The sequence below is a fragment of the Homo sapiens genome, chromosome X, assembly GCF_000001405.40.
Source record: "Homo sapiens chromosome X, GRCh38.p14 Primary Assembly".
NCBI lineage: Eukaryota > Metazoa > Chordata > Mammalia > Primates > Hominidae > Homo > Homo sapiens.
Window position 1 is genome coordinate 118,722,949 of NC_000023.11, and position 16,048 is coordinate 118,738,996.

Sequence of the window (16,048 nt, forward strand, 5' to 3'; positions counted from 1 at the left end):
GCAACACTCCCTTGAGTGAACTCCACTAAAACTGTAGAAGAAAACCACCTGCTGAAGAGCAAGGACCTTTAATTCAATTAAACCCAAACATTGAGAATGAGTTATGAGCCACTAACCATGTTCCATTCATCTTTATATTCTCTGTGGTGCCAGAGGATGCCTTTCTCCAAGCTCCCCCGACTCAATCCACTCAGAATCTAAGTAAGAGTAGAGCTCTTGCTGTACATACATGGCTCCAAGACAAGGCCCCTGGGGATTGTTCCTTCCAATCAGATTACCACCACTAAGCTCCTCCTAGGTAGAAAACCTGGAGTCACCCTGGACAGTCTGACCTCCAGGAGCTTGAATCCAGTGGCAGAAATAGACATGCACACAAACCTCTGTGTGATTTGATATGATAGAGGAACGTGTCTGGTGCTATGAGCACACACACAGGAGGGAGCAAAGAATTTTGCATTTGGGAGTTAGAGAAGCCCCTAAAAAATGTGACACTTGAGAAATGGAAAAGCATTTTAGATAAAGGGAACAGCAAGATAAAAGGTTTGCAGTGAGAAAATATCACAGGTGACAAACAAGAACCGGGCAAGTCATAAGTGAGGAAACGCTGACTAGGCCAGGGAGCAATAGGGAGCCCTAGGGCATGTGCAGACAGGAAGTACATGCCCTGTTAACAAGGTGGCAGCCCATCTGACATCTGCTGACGGTTTCTACACTGAAACAGGTCCAATATTACCAGGACTTTTGATTTATTAAGAGAAGCTGGAAATCTGGGGCCTTAGGCAAAATCTCCTGACTTAAAAAAAACACTTTGGCATCTAGATCCCCATGAATTCCAACATGATATGGACCAAACACAATTGCTCACAAGGGAGATTCAGCCTGAAGGTGGCCAGTCAGCCACCTGGAACCTGGAAGCTTGGCTGGAAGTGAAGCTAGGAAGAGTGTGGGGAATCTAACCTGAAGAGGCAAGCCTGCAGGCAGAGGAGTTGAGACTGCCTTTTGTGGCATTTGATGAAGGGAGGGGTGTCACTTAAGCTTAAGCTGAGGAGTGACATGGACAGATTGCTCATTGGGAAGATCTGTCTTGTAAAGGGTAGACCCTCATGGCCAGTTTGAAGACTGTTTCTGGAATGGTAATAAAGTCCTGAAATAGAACCATAGAGGCGAAACTGGGTGGTCGGGGGAGGAATAGATCTGAGAGATGTTTTACCATCTAATCAGTGACTGCAGGACTAGACAGTGGATGGGGAACTGGGGGTACGAGATACAGGAAAGGGAGTTGTCAAGAGTACATACTTTTAGCATTCATCTCTAATTTTGGCCAGGCATGGGGGACAGTGGGTGGGTGGGGACCAAATACAAAAGACAACAAAGAGTATTCTAGCTTAGGATCTCTCTCACCTTTGGCGCTGTTGTCATCTTGAGTAGAGTAAGTCTTTGTTGTGGGGGCGGTCGTGTGCATTGTATTAACAGCAGCATCCCCAGCCTCTACTCACTGCATTCCAGAAGCATGCCCCCGCTTCAGTCATGACAACCAAAAATATCTCTCCATATTGCCGAATGTCCCCTGGGATGTAAAATTGCCCCTGGTTGGGGGCCACTGATCCAGAATCGGGAGGGAAATTCCCTGTTTTCAACTTCTCCTTTTTCTTTGTTTTGCAGTGGTGTGAGGTTTTGCTTAGAGGACTCTTTGTGAGATTTTTGTCTAAGGGACCAGCACTTTTAGCTAAGCCCTTGGAATATGCTGGTGTCTGTGTCCCTTTTGGACTCAGGAAGGTGTCTCTAAATGGATGGAAGGACACCTGACTTTGGAAAGAGGGACATCATTCTTTCCTGCCAGACATTTTCTTGCATATGCCCTTTTCAGCCTCCAGTTACAGAAATGGACGAAGACTTAGTGAGAAGGGCAAAGGTCAAAACAGTTGAGTGGAGTGGCCTAGGTACACAGGGCAGCGCAGAACTCCAGCCACCCCGGGCCAAAGTGAAAGAAAGGCCACTGGTAGTCTCGCACCCAAGTCATCAGGACTCTAAGGGTTAAACTTGATGTTGACTCATCATGATTTTGATTTACACAAAGCCAAACTGAAAGCTCCTTGTCTACTGCAGTTCCTGGAAAGCCTTCTATCTGTCTTCATTCTTCCTGCAGACCAGGGCAGTGGCCTGATTCAATCCAAGACGCTCTTCGAATCACACTACACGGAGATTACAAATACAAGTTTTATGTTGAAGAAACAGCATTCCTGACTCTTTCCACCCCCTTCCAAAAATTTGAAAAATCGTTGCATGATGTTCAGGGTCGGGAAGAAAGGAAAGTAACAATATAGTCTTAAGGCCAGCAGGCCGGAACTATCTTGGTGAAAAGAAATCAGGTCTCTCCCCTCTCCACACTGCCGTTTGTTTTTTTTCCTCACGATGTTCAGATTCTCAGGGCTTTTCTGGAAGCTCATGACAAGCTGCAATCCCTATTTTTCTAATCATTTGCTACCATTACTGTTTTATTAAGCGCTTGGTCAATCTATGCCAAGCAGTGCCCATGATGGCACTCAGCCAGTCCCCAGGGGCTCCTGTTCCAACTAAAGACTCCTTAAAAGGCAGATGACATAACCATTTTGGAAACGTTATTATAAACTTATTGTATAATGTTTATAGCAAATGTCAACAAGTGTATATGTCCGTGGTGGTGGAGGAAAGGCCTTGGGATACACAGTGGCTGACCTATTTGTGGGAGGGATTTAGAAATAATGATACTATCTCTCAGTTCTACAGGCCTTGATACTTTACAAACTGTTTTCATAAACATTATTTTGTTCGATAACACATGCAAGCCAGGATTTATTTTTTTTTTTTTTGAGAACGGGGTCTCACTCTGTTACAGACCCAGGCTGGTTTTGAACTCCTGGGCTCAGGTGATCCTTCCACCTCAGCCTCCAGAATAGCTGGGATTACAGGTGCATGCCACCATGCCTGGATTCTGGAATTTATTCTGAACCGTTAGCCAAAAGAATCAACATCCTGAGATTCAGCACAGGCAGGCCCTCCTCCTGGAAGCTTCCCTTGCTCCTTCCCTCCCAAAAGGTACCCTTTTTGTATCCCATAATTCCTTGTTCTTGCCCTTATCATTGCCCCTCAGACTGACTGCAGCTTTCTGTTAGCAGAGCTTGCTTTTGGTGAGTGTCTTCAACAGTTCCTGGAACAATTTCATAAATATTTATTGAGTTTGAGAGCCTTAATTCCAAGAGTGGAACCTTTGTTGTGAATAGGTTAAACAACCCTGTGCCCTTTGGGTGGGGTCTAGACTAGGTATATTATCAGCATTTTTATTGCTATACTTTTTGTAACTGTTTTCAGGTATATGCATTGGCTTAATTCGGCCAAAATACACCTCATTATGGGTCTCATCATCCACCTAGACATGATTCTTTTTTGGGAGAAGGTGATAGAATAATGTCCCCCTCCCATGATTCCATATCGTGATCCCCAACACCTGTGAATATGTTAACTTACATAGCAAAAATGACTTTTCAGTTATGATTAAATCAAGGATTTTGAGATGGGGAGATTATTATGAATTATCTGGTGGACCTAATCTAATCACAAGGGTATTTATAAGGGAAAAGGGGAAGTAAGAGGGTCAGAGTCAGATACGACAAGGGAAGCAGAGGTCTGAGTAGTTCCGCAACAAGCCAAGGAATGTGGGTAGCCTCTAGAAGCTGGAAAAGTCAAAGACACAGATTCTCCCCTAGAATATCCAGAAGGAATACATCTCTGCCCACACCTTGATTTAAGCTCAGTGTCACTTCTGACCTCCAGAACTGTAATAAAATAAAACTGTTAAATCACTAAATTTGTGGTCATTTTTGACAGCAGCAACAGGAAACGCCTAAGGACTCTTGTTTTCCTTCCTCCCAGCCTCACTGACCCTCATAGGCGCCCAAGTATCAATGTGTATTCTTCCGATTCACCTCCCATCCCTTTGAAAAATATGTAGAAAGTTTGTCGTGTGCTTTAAAAAATGCACGTATGGTATCCTCCCTCATGTTTGGAATGTTCCTTTTAAAATCAACATTATGTATTGCCAGCTTTCAAATATGCCCTTTGTCCTTTTCACAAAGCACAGTACTGCCAGTGTCCCCAACTCCACCCAGTGAAGTAGGGCTGGTATTACTAACCCTGGAGTCAGCGCTAGCAAACAAGGGCTCAGAGGTCAAGGGCTGGAAGCCAGGTCTCCAGACTCCCAGGCCAAGGCTCTTTTCCGCAGATGACTCTGTCCTGGTGTCCAGCAGGGCACAGCCCCTAGCACCTCCGAGGCCCCGCAAGTGTGCTGGCAGCGGCGACGCCGGCTCCGCCACGCGGAGGGAGGAGGCCCAGGCAGCGCCCGGAGTGGGCGGCGACGTGGTGGAAGAAGTTTTGTTCGGTCAGAGACCGGACGCGGGAGCTGCGGGTGGGCCAGGTGTCCAGCCTTGGGAGCCGTAGGAGCCGCCAGAGCCGCCAGAGCCGCCGGCGCCCCGCCCCGCCTCCTCCGGCCGCTCTCGCCGGCTCAGGTTACCTGAGGCCGGTGGGCGGGGCGGCCCTTCCCGTCTGCGCCGGCCCCCAGCCTCCAGGGCGGCGGAGCCGGGAAGTGGAAGAGGGAGCGAAGGAGGCGGGGACTGCCAAGGCTCCAGCCCGGCCGGGCTCCGAGGCGAGAGGCTGCATGGAGTGGCCGGCGCGGCTCTGCGGGCTGTGGGCGCTGCTGCTCTGCGCCGGCGGCGGGGGCGGGGGCGGGGGCGCCGCGCCTACGGGTGAGTGCGACCCTCGGGGCCCGAGGGGCGGCCGGAGGGCTGAGGGCGGTGAGGGTCACGGCTGAAAGGCCCCGGAGGTCAACGCCGGGCGGAGGGCCGAAGCTGGGGTGGGTGCTGGGGGCTGCCCTCGCGAGGCCCCGCGCTCGGCGGCTGCGGCTTCCCGCGCGGGATCTCTGGGGCCCGGTACTGGGGCCGGTTCGAGGTGGGACCCGGGAGCTGCGGGGTTTTCCCGAACTCCGGGTGCGGCGGAGGTGGCGGCAGCGAAGTAAGAGGGCTGCGACTTGTAGTGGGAAGAGCCCAGGAGGCTGGCGTCCAGGCGTGCGGGGGCGGGGGGCCCGAAACATGCCCACGGCGTCAGAGGGCCGTGGGTCAGCGCCCGGAATGTCGCCTGTGAGCCCGGGAGGAAATGAGGCGCCAGAGCCGGCGGGGACCACGACCGAAGTCCAGGCGAGCTGAGAACGCGCCGGGGCTCTTTGCCCGAGGCCGCGCCAATCCTCACTGTCTAAGGGTGGCTCTTGCGAGTGGAAGTTGAAGGGAACCTCTAAACATCTCAGTCCTTGTTGAAAAAGGACGTGACGCTCATGACCTCCTCTGGCGTCGAAGAAATCCTTTGGGAAATCCAGAATAGCATCCCGGCAGATGCTCCCCCCACCCCACTCTCTTTAATAAACCTTATATTTTAGGGTAATTGTAGATTTATGGAAAAGTTGCAAAGATACTTCAGAGAGTTGTGTATATCCCTCACCCTGTTTGGTAACTTCTAGTTAATCAACCTGGCAGTTGTGAAAAATTGGGAGTTAATGACTTCCTTAGGAGCAGCTCCTGGAAGGAATGGCCTTCTGGACGTTTTTGGTGACAATGAAAGCCCCAAACTGTATAGGTTTTATTATCACATTGACACAAACACTTATATATGCTTATTGCATTTTTACCAATGTGCTTTGAAATCCAAGTTGAAATGTTGATTAGGAAACCTTAATGCCCTCTATGGATTCAGTCAATAAAATACATGCTGCCAGGCAGTGTTTAGGGGCTGAGGATGCAGCAGTGAGCAAAACAGATGAGGTGCCTGCCCTCAGACATATCGGGGGGTGGGGGTAAAATATATGATATGTCTGAGGGTGTTAAGTAGAGAAAAACAGAGCAGGTGGGAAGGGGTTTGCCATTGTAAAAAGGGTGGATCGAGAAGAAAACAAATGTTGCTGAAAGGTGGCATTTGAGTAGAGACCTGAGGGAGACTTGAAGCTTGTCAGTCAATAATTATTCAGGTGTCTGCCTTATTTAGTACTGAGTCAGGCCCTCTAGGTTGACTTAGAACCTGAGAGTGTATAGCAAAATTCTTGCCCCAAAAGGGCCTCTAGTTTAGTTGGGTACACCTGATTTCCGTAATCATATGGGGACATTGCAGTCCAGAGAAGGGAAGGAACTTGTCTAAAGTTACCCGTCTCATTAGTCTCCTGATTTTCACAGTGCCACTCCAGCACCCTCCCTCCTACAGACTCACTCCCACACACACCTGAAACAACAGCTGGCCATCTAGAGAATACTGGCAACTCCCAACTTCATCAGTCCTGTCACAATGGTTTGTCGTTAGCTTGCTTATTTAGAAAACAAACTTCTTTCCCCATTAAAAGTATTGATAGAATTGCATTGAGGTATGGTGGGAAAAAATTAGATGTTTCCAGTGAGACTTGAGTTTTAGTGGTTCTGATATTTACCACCTGTGGGACTCTGGGCTGGTCATTTCCTCTCTTTTGTGCTGCAGTTAGTTTTCTCATCTGTGAAATGAGGAGGTTGAACTGCATAAATTCTAAGAGCTCCTCCAGCTCTAATCCTCAGAGTGTTTATAAAAGTGATTAGATTACTAGCTTAGTTTAACCTGTCCCACTCAATGGCCCACATTGTGGCATGTCTTAATTATAACTAGCATGTATATAGCATTTATGCCCAGCAGTTTTCTAGCTGCTTTACTTGTACTATTTCATTTAATCTTTACCAATAATATAACTTGTAGGTGCTGTTATTAGTCCCATTTTGTACACGAAAAAGTTGAGGCACAGTGCGACCAAGACCCTTGCCCAAATTCGCATACCTGGCAAAGTGGAAGAGCTAGGTTTCCAACCCTGGCAGCCTGATTCCAGAGGCCATGCCCTTAACCACTGTACTCATTGCTTCTGCCCAGCAGAAAAGACGAGAGTCCTTAGCTGGACACCTCCCAGGGTAGCAGGGCAGGACGGCTTGGGACCCACGAAAGTATGTGCAAGCCATTTGTTAAGAAGCTAATGATACTATATTAGGCCGGGTGCAGTGGCTCATGCCTGTAATCCCAGCACTTTAGGAGACTGAGGCAGATGGATCACTTGAGGCCAGGAGTTTGAGCCTGGCCAACATGGCAAAACCCCGTCTACTAAAAATACAAAAATTAGCCGAGTGTGGGATTACATGCCTGTAATCCCAGCTACTCAGGAAGCTGAGGCATGAGACTCATTTGATCCTGGGAGGCAGAGGTTGCAGTGAGGGAAGATCAGGCCACTGCACTTCAGCCTGGGCGACAGAGCAAGACTGTCTCAAAACAAAAAAAGAAGCGAATGATACTACATTGGAGACTGGCTTTATAGTGGCTGGGCTGTGTGGTCCAAACAACTAGTACTATAGGCATTCAAAAGAGAAAAAGCTGACGGTTGGTAGTGTTATGGAAGAGGTAAAACTTGAGCTAGATCTTCTGGATGACTGGGATTTGAGTAGGTGGAGAATTTATTCCAGGTGGGGGCAATAGCAGGAGCAGAGACCCAGAAATGAGGGCAAGAGTGCTCCTTTGTGGTCAAGAAGGAACCTGGCTTGGCAGGAGAGTGCATTGGTAAAGTCAATCCAGGCAGAATAGCTTGATTTGCCCTTGAAAGCTCTGAGTCCGGCACAGCATGGGAAAAATAACACAGAAGGAGGAAGCAAGCAGGGAGACTTCACTGGGTAGGGGAGCCCCTGGAGTGTGAAGCTACATAAGAATCTATGGTTGCAGGTCTCCACTAGAAAAATGTGCTGCGAACCCTTCCTGTCCAGGACCATGACTTACTGGTATCTTCCCACCTGGTGGGGCACAACAGAGCATATTTGCATGATTGGGGTAACTAAGAAAGATGTTGGAAGAAAAAAACGAACAGGAGTTGATGCCTGAGTGGATGTAAGGGAAGGGACAGATGACTCATATATGACTCTTGTGATTTCCTTAACTTTTCCCAAAATGTGCATGCCTCTGCTAGCTGCTGTGATTGGACAGGCGAGAGCAAAAGCTATAAGCTAAGCAAAATGCCTTCTTATGAAATAGTAGATTGTGTTAACTCTTAATTTAAATAGGATGTTGTGCTAGATGACTGTACAGACTTGGGATTTGAGGTTTAGATACAGACATACTTGGGTCCCTTCCTACTCCCTTTTCTGAAGTCAGTGGTGCAATCCCCAAGACATGGTTGAAATTAGGTGCCTAAGGGAAGCTTATCAGGTAGAAGGGATACTTGTTCTGTCTCAAAGGCCAGGGACACATATCAATTCAACAGAAAACCAAAGCAACCCTGGCCAGGCACAGTGGTTCACACCTGTAATCCCAGCACTTTGGGAGGCCGAGGTGGGTGGATCACTTGAGGTCAGGAGTTCGAGACCAGCCTGGCCAACATGGCGAAACCCAGTCTCTACTAAAAATACAAAAATTAGCCAGGCGTGGCAGTGCACACCTGTAATCCCAACTACTCGGAAGGCTGAGGCAGGAGAATCGCTTGAACCCAGGAGGCAGAGTTTGCAGTGAGCTAAGATCACACCAGCGCACTCCAGCCTGGGTAACAGAGCGAGACTCCGTCTCCAAAAAAAAAAAAAAAAAGCAACTCTTTAGAATTGTTTTGTCTTAAAGAAATAAAGCAGATAGCTAACACATAGCACTTGCTGCCTGTGGGCACTATTCTAAGCACATTGCTTGTATTAACTCATTTAATCCTCATAATAACCCTTTGCAAGAGGTTACTATTATTATCCTCATATTAGAGATGAGAAAACTGAGAAATAGAGAGGTTAAGTAATTTGCCTGCTGGCAAGTAGTAGAGGTGGGATATAAACTCAGGCAGTCAGGCTCCAGAGTCTGTGCTCTTAAACACTACACTATGTTGAAGTTATACACGAAGAGCTGTTAGAGACCTTTACAAGTAGTATAATCATCACTTAATCATATATATGTCTAGGCATGTTGTATACACACACAGTTCACATGTATTTGTATATATTTAAACATTTGGAGATTAAAGTTTCAGTGCCTGTGTTTTTTTCAATTTTTTATTATAAAATACACATAAAATTTACCATCTTAATCATTTTTAAGTACACAGTTCAGTGTTACGAAATACATTCATAATGCTGTGCAACCATCATCACCATCCATCCCCATAACTCTTTTTATCTTGTAAAACTGAAACTCTGTACCCATTAAACAATAACTCCTCATTTTCCCCTGCCCCTAGCCCCTGGCAAACACCATTCCACTTTCTATCTCTATGATTTTGACTACTCTAAGTATCTCATATGAATGTAATGATATACTATTTGTCTTTTTTGTGACTGGCTTATTTCTGTTAGCATAGTGCCCTTATGGTTCATGGTGTATCATATGTCAGAATTTTTCCTTTTTTAAATTTATATATATATATATATTTATTATACCTTAAGTTCTAGGGTACATTGCACAACGTGCAGGTTTGTTACATATGTATACATGTGCCATGTTGGTGTGCTGCACCCATTAACTCGTCATTTACATTAGGTATATCTCCTAATGCTATCCCTCCCCCATCCCCCCACCCCACAACAGGCCCCGGTGTGTGATGTTCCCCTTCCTCTGTCCAAGTGTTCTCAATGTTCAATTCCCACCTATGAGTGAGAACATGCAGTGTTTGGTTTTTTTGTCCTTGCGATAGTTTGCTGAAAATGATGGTTTCCAGTTTCATCCATGTCCCTACAAAGGAGATGAACTCATCCTTTTTTATGACTGCATAGTATTCCATGGTGTATATGTGCCACATTTTCTTAATCCAGTCTATCATTGTTGGACATTTGGGTTGGTTCCAAGTCTTTGCTATTGTGAGTAGTGCTGCAATAAACATACGTGTGCATGTGTCTTTATAGCAGCATGATTTATACTATTTGTCTTTTTTGTGACTGACTTATTTCTGTTAGCATAATGCCCTCATGGTTCATGTTGTATCATATGTCAGAATTTTTCCTTTTTAAAAGCTGACTAATATTCCATTGTATGCATATACCATATTTTGCTTATCTGTTTATCTGTCAATGGACACTTAGGTTGCTTCCATGTTTTAGCAATTTCACAATACTATTATGAACCTGGGTGTAGAATATCTCTTTGAGACCTTGTTTTCACTTCTTTTGGGTATATACCCAGAAATGGAATTATTGTATCATATGATAATTCTATTTGTAATTTTTTTGAGGAACCACCATACTGTTGTCCATAGTGAAATTTTAAATTTCCACCAACTGTGCACCGGGGTTTGAATTTTTCCATATCATTGCCAACATTTATTTTCTGTTTTTTGATAGTAGCCATTCTAATGGGAGTGAGGTGAAATCTCATTGTGGTTTTGGTTTGCATTTTCCTAAATATTAGTGATGATGAACACCTTCATGTGCTTATTGGCTATTTCCTTATCTTTGTTGGTGAAATATCTATTTAAGCCTTTGCCTATTTCTGAATTGAATTTTTTTTTATTGTTGAGTTTTAGGCATTCTCTGTATATTCTGGATATTAATCCCTTATCAGATATATGATTTACACATATTTTTCCATTCTGTGAGTCACTTTTTTCTGTGAATATTTTGATGCACACGTTTTAATTTTTTCCATGAAATCCAATTCGTCAATTTTTTCTTTTGTTACCTACATTGTTGGTGTCATATCCAAGAAATTGTTGCTGAATCCAATGGTATGAAGCTTTTGTCTTATGTTTTCTTCTAAAAATTTTATAGTTTTAGTCTTAAAATTTCAGTCTCTGATCCATTTTGAATTTTTTTTTTACTTGGTATTGGGTAAGCGTCCAATTTCATTCTTTTTCATATGGATATCCAGTTTTCCCAGCACCATTTGTTGAAAAGATTGTCTGCATTGAGTGGTCTTGGCACTGTTGTCAAAATCATTTGACCATACATGTGATGGTTTATTTCTGGACTGTCTATTCTATTACATTGATCAGTATGTCTGTCTTTATGCCAGTACACACTGTTTTGATTATTGCAGCTTTGTAGTAAGTTCAGAAATCAGGAAGTGTGAGTCCTACAGCTTTGTTTTTCCGTTTCAAGACTGTTTGGCTATTCAGGGTTCCTTGAGATTTCATAAGAATTTTAGGATGGATTTTTCTATTTCTGCAAAACTATGCCATTAAGATTTTGATAAGGATTGAATTGAATCTATATATCACTTTGGATAGTATTGACATCTTAACAATATTAAGTGTTCTAATACGTGAACATGGGATGTGTTTCCATATCATCTACAAACAGAGATAATTTTACATCTTATTTTAACTGGATGTCTTTTATCTCTTTTTCTTGCCTAATTGCTCTGGGTAGAACTTCAAGTACTATGTTGAATAGGAGTGGTGAAAGTGGGCATCTTTGTTTCATTCCTGACCCTAAAGGAAAAGCTTTCAGTCTTTCACCATTAAGGGTGATGTTTACTGTGGGTTTTTCATATATAACTTTTAAGTCAATTTTCTTACACTCCTAGTTTGTTGAGTGTTTTTATCATGAAAAGTAAATTTTGTCTAATGCTTTTTCTGTATCAATTGAGATGATCAGGTAGTTTTTTCCCCTTTATTCTGTTAATGTGGTATATTACATTGATCAAGTTTTGTATGTTAAAACATCTTTGTATTCCAGGAATAAATCCCACTTGGTCATGGTCTATAATCCTTTTGATATGCCCGTGTATTCACTTTACTGCTATTTTGTTGAGAATTTGTACATCAATGTTCATAAGGCATATGGGTCTGTAGTTTTCTTTTCTTGTAGCGTCTTTGTCTGGCTTTGGTATCAGGTAATGCTGGCCTCGTAGAATGAGTTACGAAGTTTGAGAAGGTTTGGTACTAGTTCTTTAGATGTTTGGTAGAATTTTATCTGTGAAGCTATCAGGTCTAGGGCTTTTCTTTGTTGAGAGATTTTTGATTACTGATTCAATCTCCTTACTACTTATAGGTCTGTTTAGATTTCCTATTTCTTTGTGATTTAGTTTTGGTGGTTTTGTGTTTCTGGAAATGTGTCCATTTCATCTAGGCTGTCCAATTTGTTAGTGTACGGTTGTTCATAGTACTCTCTTATAACCCTTTTTATTTCTCTAGAATCAGTAGTGATTCTAGAGAAATACTCATTTTCATTTTTGAAAATGAGTAAAGTTCTCATTTTCATTTTTGATTTTAGTAATTTCAGTCTTCTTTCTTATTAGTCCATCTAGCTAAAGGTTTGTCCGTTTTGTTGATCTTTTCAAGAAGCTTTTAGTTTCATTGATTTTCTCTATTTTTCTATTCCCTTTTTCTTTTATCTCTGGTCTAATCTTCATTATTTCCTTCCTTATGATAGCTTAAGATTAGTTTGTTCTTTTTCTAGTTACGCAAGTTGTAAAGTTAAGGTTGCTGATTTGAGATCTTTCTTGTTTCTTAATATGTGTTTATAGCTATAAATTTTTCCAATAGTACTGCTTTCGCTGCATCGTCTACATTTTAGATGTTTATATTTACGCCTTTCATCAAATTTGGGAAGTTGTCATCCATTATTTCTTTATTTTCTTTTTTTGAGACAGAGTCTCACTCTGTCACCCAGGCTGGAGTGCAGTAGCACGATCTCAGCTCACTGCAACCTCTGCCTCCCAGGTTCAAGCGATGCTCCTGCCTCAGCCACCCAAGTAGCTGGGATTACAGATGTGCACCACCACACTCAGCTAATTTTTGTATTTTTAGTAGAACTGGGGTATTGCCATGTTGGCTAGGCTTGTTTCGAACTCCTGGACCCAGGCAATCTGCCTGCCTTGGCCTCCCAAAGTGCTGGGATGAGCCACCACACCCGGCTCATTATTTTTTCAAGTATTCTTTCTTCCTCTTTCTCTCTCTTCTCCTGGAACCCCCATAATGCATACACTGGTCTGCTGATGGTGTACCACAGGTCTCTTAGACTCTGTTCACTTTTCTTCAATCTTTTTTTCTTTCTGTTCCTCGGACTCAATAATTTTTATTGCCCTAATTTCAAGTTTATTGATTCTTTCTTCTGCCTGCTCAAATCTACCTTTGATTCTTTTTAGTGAATTTTTCATTTCAGTTGTGCTTTTTCTGCTCCAGAGTTTCTTTTTGGTCTCTTTTTAGGTTTTCTATCTCTTTATTGGTATTTTCATTTTGCTTACATATCATTTTCTTGACTCTCTCCACATCTTCCTTTAGTTCTGTGAACATCTGAAGATATTTGTTTCAGAATCTTTCTTTAATATATTTGCCATCAGGTCTTTTTCAGGGACAGGTTTGCTGTTGTTTAACTTTTTTTCTTTGGGCCATAGTTTCCTGGTTTTTTTGTTTTGTTTTGTTTTGTCTGTCTTGTGATTCTTTGTTAGAAACTGGACATTTAAATCTGGTTTCTCTGGAAACCAGATTCCCCCTTCCCCCAGGATTTGCTGTTTTTTGTTATTGTTTTGTTTATTGTCTTTATTTTTTTGATTATTGTAGGCTGTCTGTGTGTTGAGCATCAACCTGAAGTGTAAACTTAGTCTTCTCAGGTTTTTTTCTGGGCTTTCCCTGAGCATGTGTGGTCACTTTCTGTTTTTCTCTGTATATATAGTTTTGTTTCATTTTGTTTTGTTTTGTTTTTGAGACCTAGTCTCGCTCTGTTGCCCAGGCTAGAGTGCAGTGGTGTGATCACAGCTCACTGTAACCTCGAATCCCTGGGCTCAAGTGATCCTCCCACTTCAGTCTCCTGAGGAGCTGGAACTACAGATTCATGCCACCACACCTAGCTAATTTAACCAAACAAACAAAAAAAATTGTTTTGGTGGAGATGGGATCTCGCAGTGTTGCCAGGGCTGATCTTTAACTGCTGGCCTCAAGTAATCCTCCTGCCTCGGCCTACCGAAGTGCTGGGATTATAGGTGTGAGTCACCATGCCCAGCCTCTGTAGTTGTTTAAGAATTTCTAATCTTTAATGCCTGGCTCCCAAAAGTGGAAAAGGAGAAAAATGAGGCGACAAGGGAAGAGCGCCATTCTTTTACATCTTCTGGAAATCACTTTAGCTAGATAGGGAGGGCTTGCAACAGTGGGGATAGGTGCAACCACAATGGCTGCCAGCCTCTTTGTCTGTACCTCTGTGATCAGAAGCAGCAATCAGTAATCAGAATACAAATCCCTGATATTTGGAGGACAGAGTACTTCTGCCCACATAGCCCACAAGCTGTGGGCAGAGGGCTCCAGGAACATGTGCACAGCCGCCTGCCATGGGGTTGGGGATGAAGGATGGGCAGCTACTACTATGTAAAAGCTGACATTGATTGAAATTTATGGCAATTTGTTGTTCAAGCCTTTCCTGGGAAATTGCAAGCCTTCAATGTAAGTGTTTCCTGATATAACTCTGCAGTCTTCCAAAATTGTTACATCAAACAGACTCTGCCACTACCATTGTTATCTAGGTGAGGAGATAGATGTCTGGTGCTTCCTACTCTTGCCTTATTCCCAGAATCCATGTGTGTGTGTTTTTAAAGTGTAGGAAGTAGAAAAATCAAAAGATATGGAGGAAACCAGAAGAGAAAAAGAAAAGGATAGCAGATAGCCCCAGGAAGCCCAAAATGCAAACCAGTTAGAAGATCTGACCAAAGGACACTTCAAAACAGATGGGAGAATATTAATCCCATTTGAAAGGTTGAATATAGGGCAGGCCATTGTTTTATTTCAAAACTGAGGTTAAAGTAGGTTTTAAATTACCTTGAAAATAAATTGGAGTACAATTGAAATGAACCACAAATAGGTATATTTTTATTATCAGGGCTTTAATATTTGTGTGGGAGTGGGAGGTAGGTGGGTAGGGAGAGTACTGGAAGTGCTAAACTAGGTTTCTTGGATGTGTTTCTGGGAACTGCAGAATAAGGCAGATAATCCTACAGTAAATTGTAGTCTCCAGTAGGAACAATGTTTTTATTGGAGGCTCTCTACCTGACAAATGATTTGTCTTCAAAAATATCATTGATATGGTGTTAGAAAGGCCAAAATGGAATAGCCATACATGCTTTTAATCACTTAAAATCCTAACTTTAGCACTGTTGCCTGAGCCATTGGTGCTCCCTGGTACTAGCTCAGTTTTAATGCAGTGCAATAGGAATTCTTTGTTTCCACAAGGCCTTGTCCTGCTGTGGGCTGCTCCTTCCCACAGTTGGACCTTGGGAAAAGGTAGAGTTAGAAGAGGGAATGATTTTTTTTATTTCAAATTTTATTATAGATTAAAGGGTATATGCACAGATTTGCTACATGGGTAAACTGCATGACGCTGAGACTTGGGGTCCAACAATCTGATCACCCAGGCTGTAACCATGGTACCCAACAGGTGGTTCTTCGGCCCCCAAACCCACCTCCCTCCCTCCCTTGTCTAGTGATCCCCAGTGTCTATCATTTCCATCTTTATGATCATGTGTATTCAGTGTTTAACACCCACTTATGAGTGAGAACATGCGGTATTTGGTTTTCTATTCTTGCATTAGATCACTTAGGATAAAGGCCTCCAGCTCCACCCATGTTGCTGCAAAGGGCATGGTTTCATTCTTTTTATGGCTGCGTAGTATTCCATGGTATATATGTGCCACATTATCTTTATCCAGTCCACTGTTGGTGGGCACTTAGGTTAGTTCCGTGTCCTTGCTTTTGTGAATAGTGCTGCAGTGAACATACAGGTGCATGTGTCTTTATGATAGAATGAGTTATTTTCCTTTGGGTATATATCAAGTAATGGAATTGTTGGGTTGAATGGTAGTTCTATTTTAAGTCCTTTTTTTTTTTTTTTTTTTTTTTTGAGACATAGTCTTGCTCTGTTGCCCAGGCTGGGGTGCAGTGGTGCAATCTTGGCTCACTGCAACCTCCACCTCCTGGGTTCAAGTGATTCTTATGCCACAGCCTCCTGAGTTTCTGGTATTACAGTTGTACACCACCATGCCTGGCTAATTTTTGTATTTTTAGTAGAGACGGTGTTTCGTTATGTTGTCC

At 43.3% G+C, this 16,048-nt stretch overlaps 1 protein-coding gene and 1 non-coding gene across 3 annotated transcripts in view, besides 1 other annotated feature; both read left to right on the forward strand.

Moving 5' to 3' along the window:
* Positions 4,267-4,696: a silencer, noted in NCBI's record as "silent region_20950". NCBI's record gives its function as "represses an Ori minimal core promoter by ATAC-STARR-seq in GM12878 lymphoblastoid cells {active_cell/tissue: GM12878}" and the evidence as "EXISTENCE:reporter gene assay evidence [ECO:0000049][PMID:35858748]".
* Positions 4,658-16,048, forward strand: part of IL13RA1 (interleukin 13 receptor subunit alpha 1) — a 77,623-nt gene continuing 66,232 nt past the window's right edge. For both annotated transcript variants that reach the window (XM_047442096.1, NM_001560.3), the window contains exon 1: positions 4,658-4,778. In XM_047442096.1, coding sequence (XP_047298052.1) covers positions 4,691-4,778 — 88 coding nt within the window. In that variant the 5' untranslated portion in view covers positions 4,658-4,690. The remainder of the gene's footprint in view (positions 4,779-16,048) is intronic.
* On the forward strand, positions 15,107-15,234 carry LOC124900501 (small nucleolar RNA SNORA35). Its single transcript, XR_007068430.1, has one exon. It is a non-coding gene; the product is annotated as a small nucleolar RNA SNORA35 (small nucleolar RNA).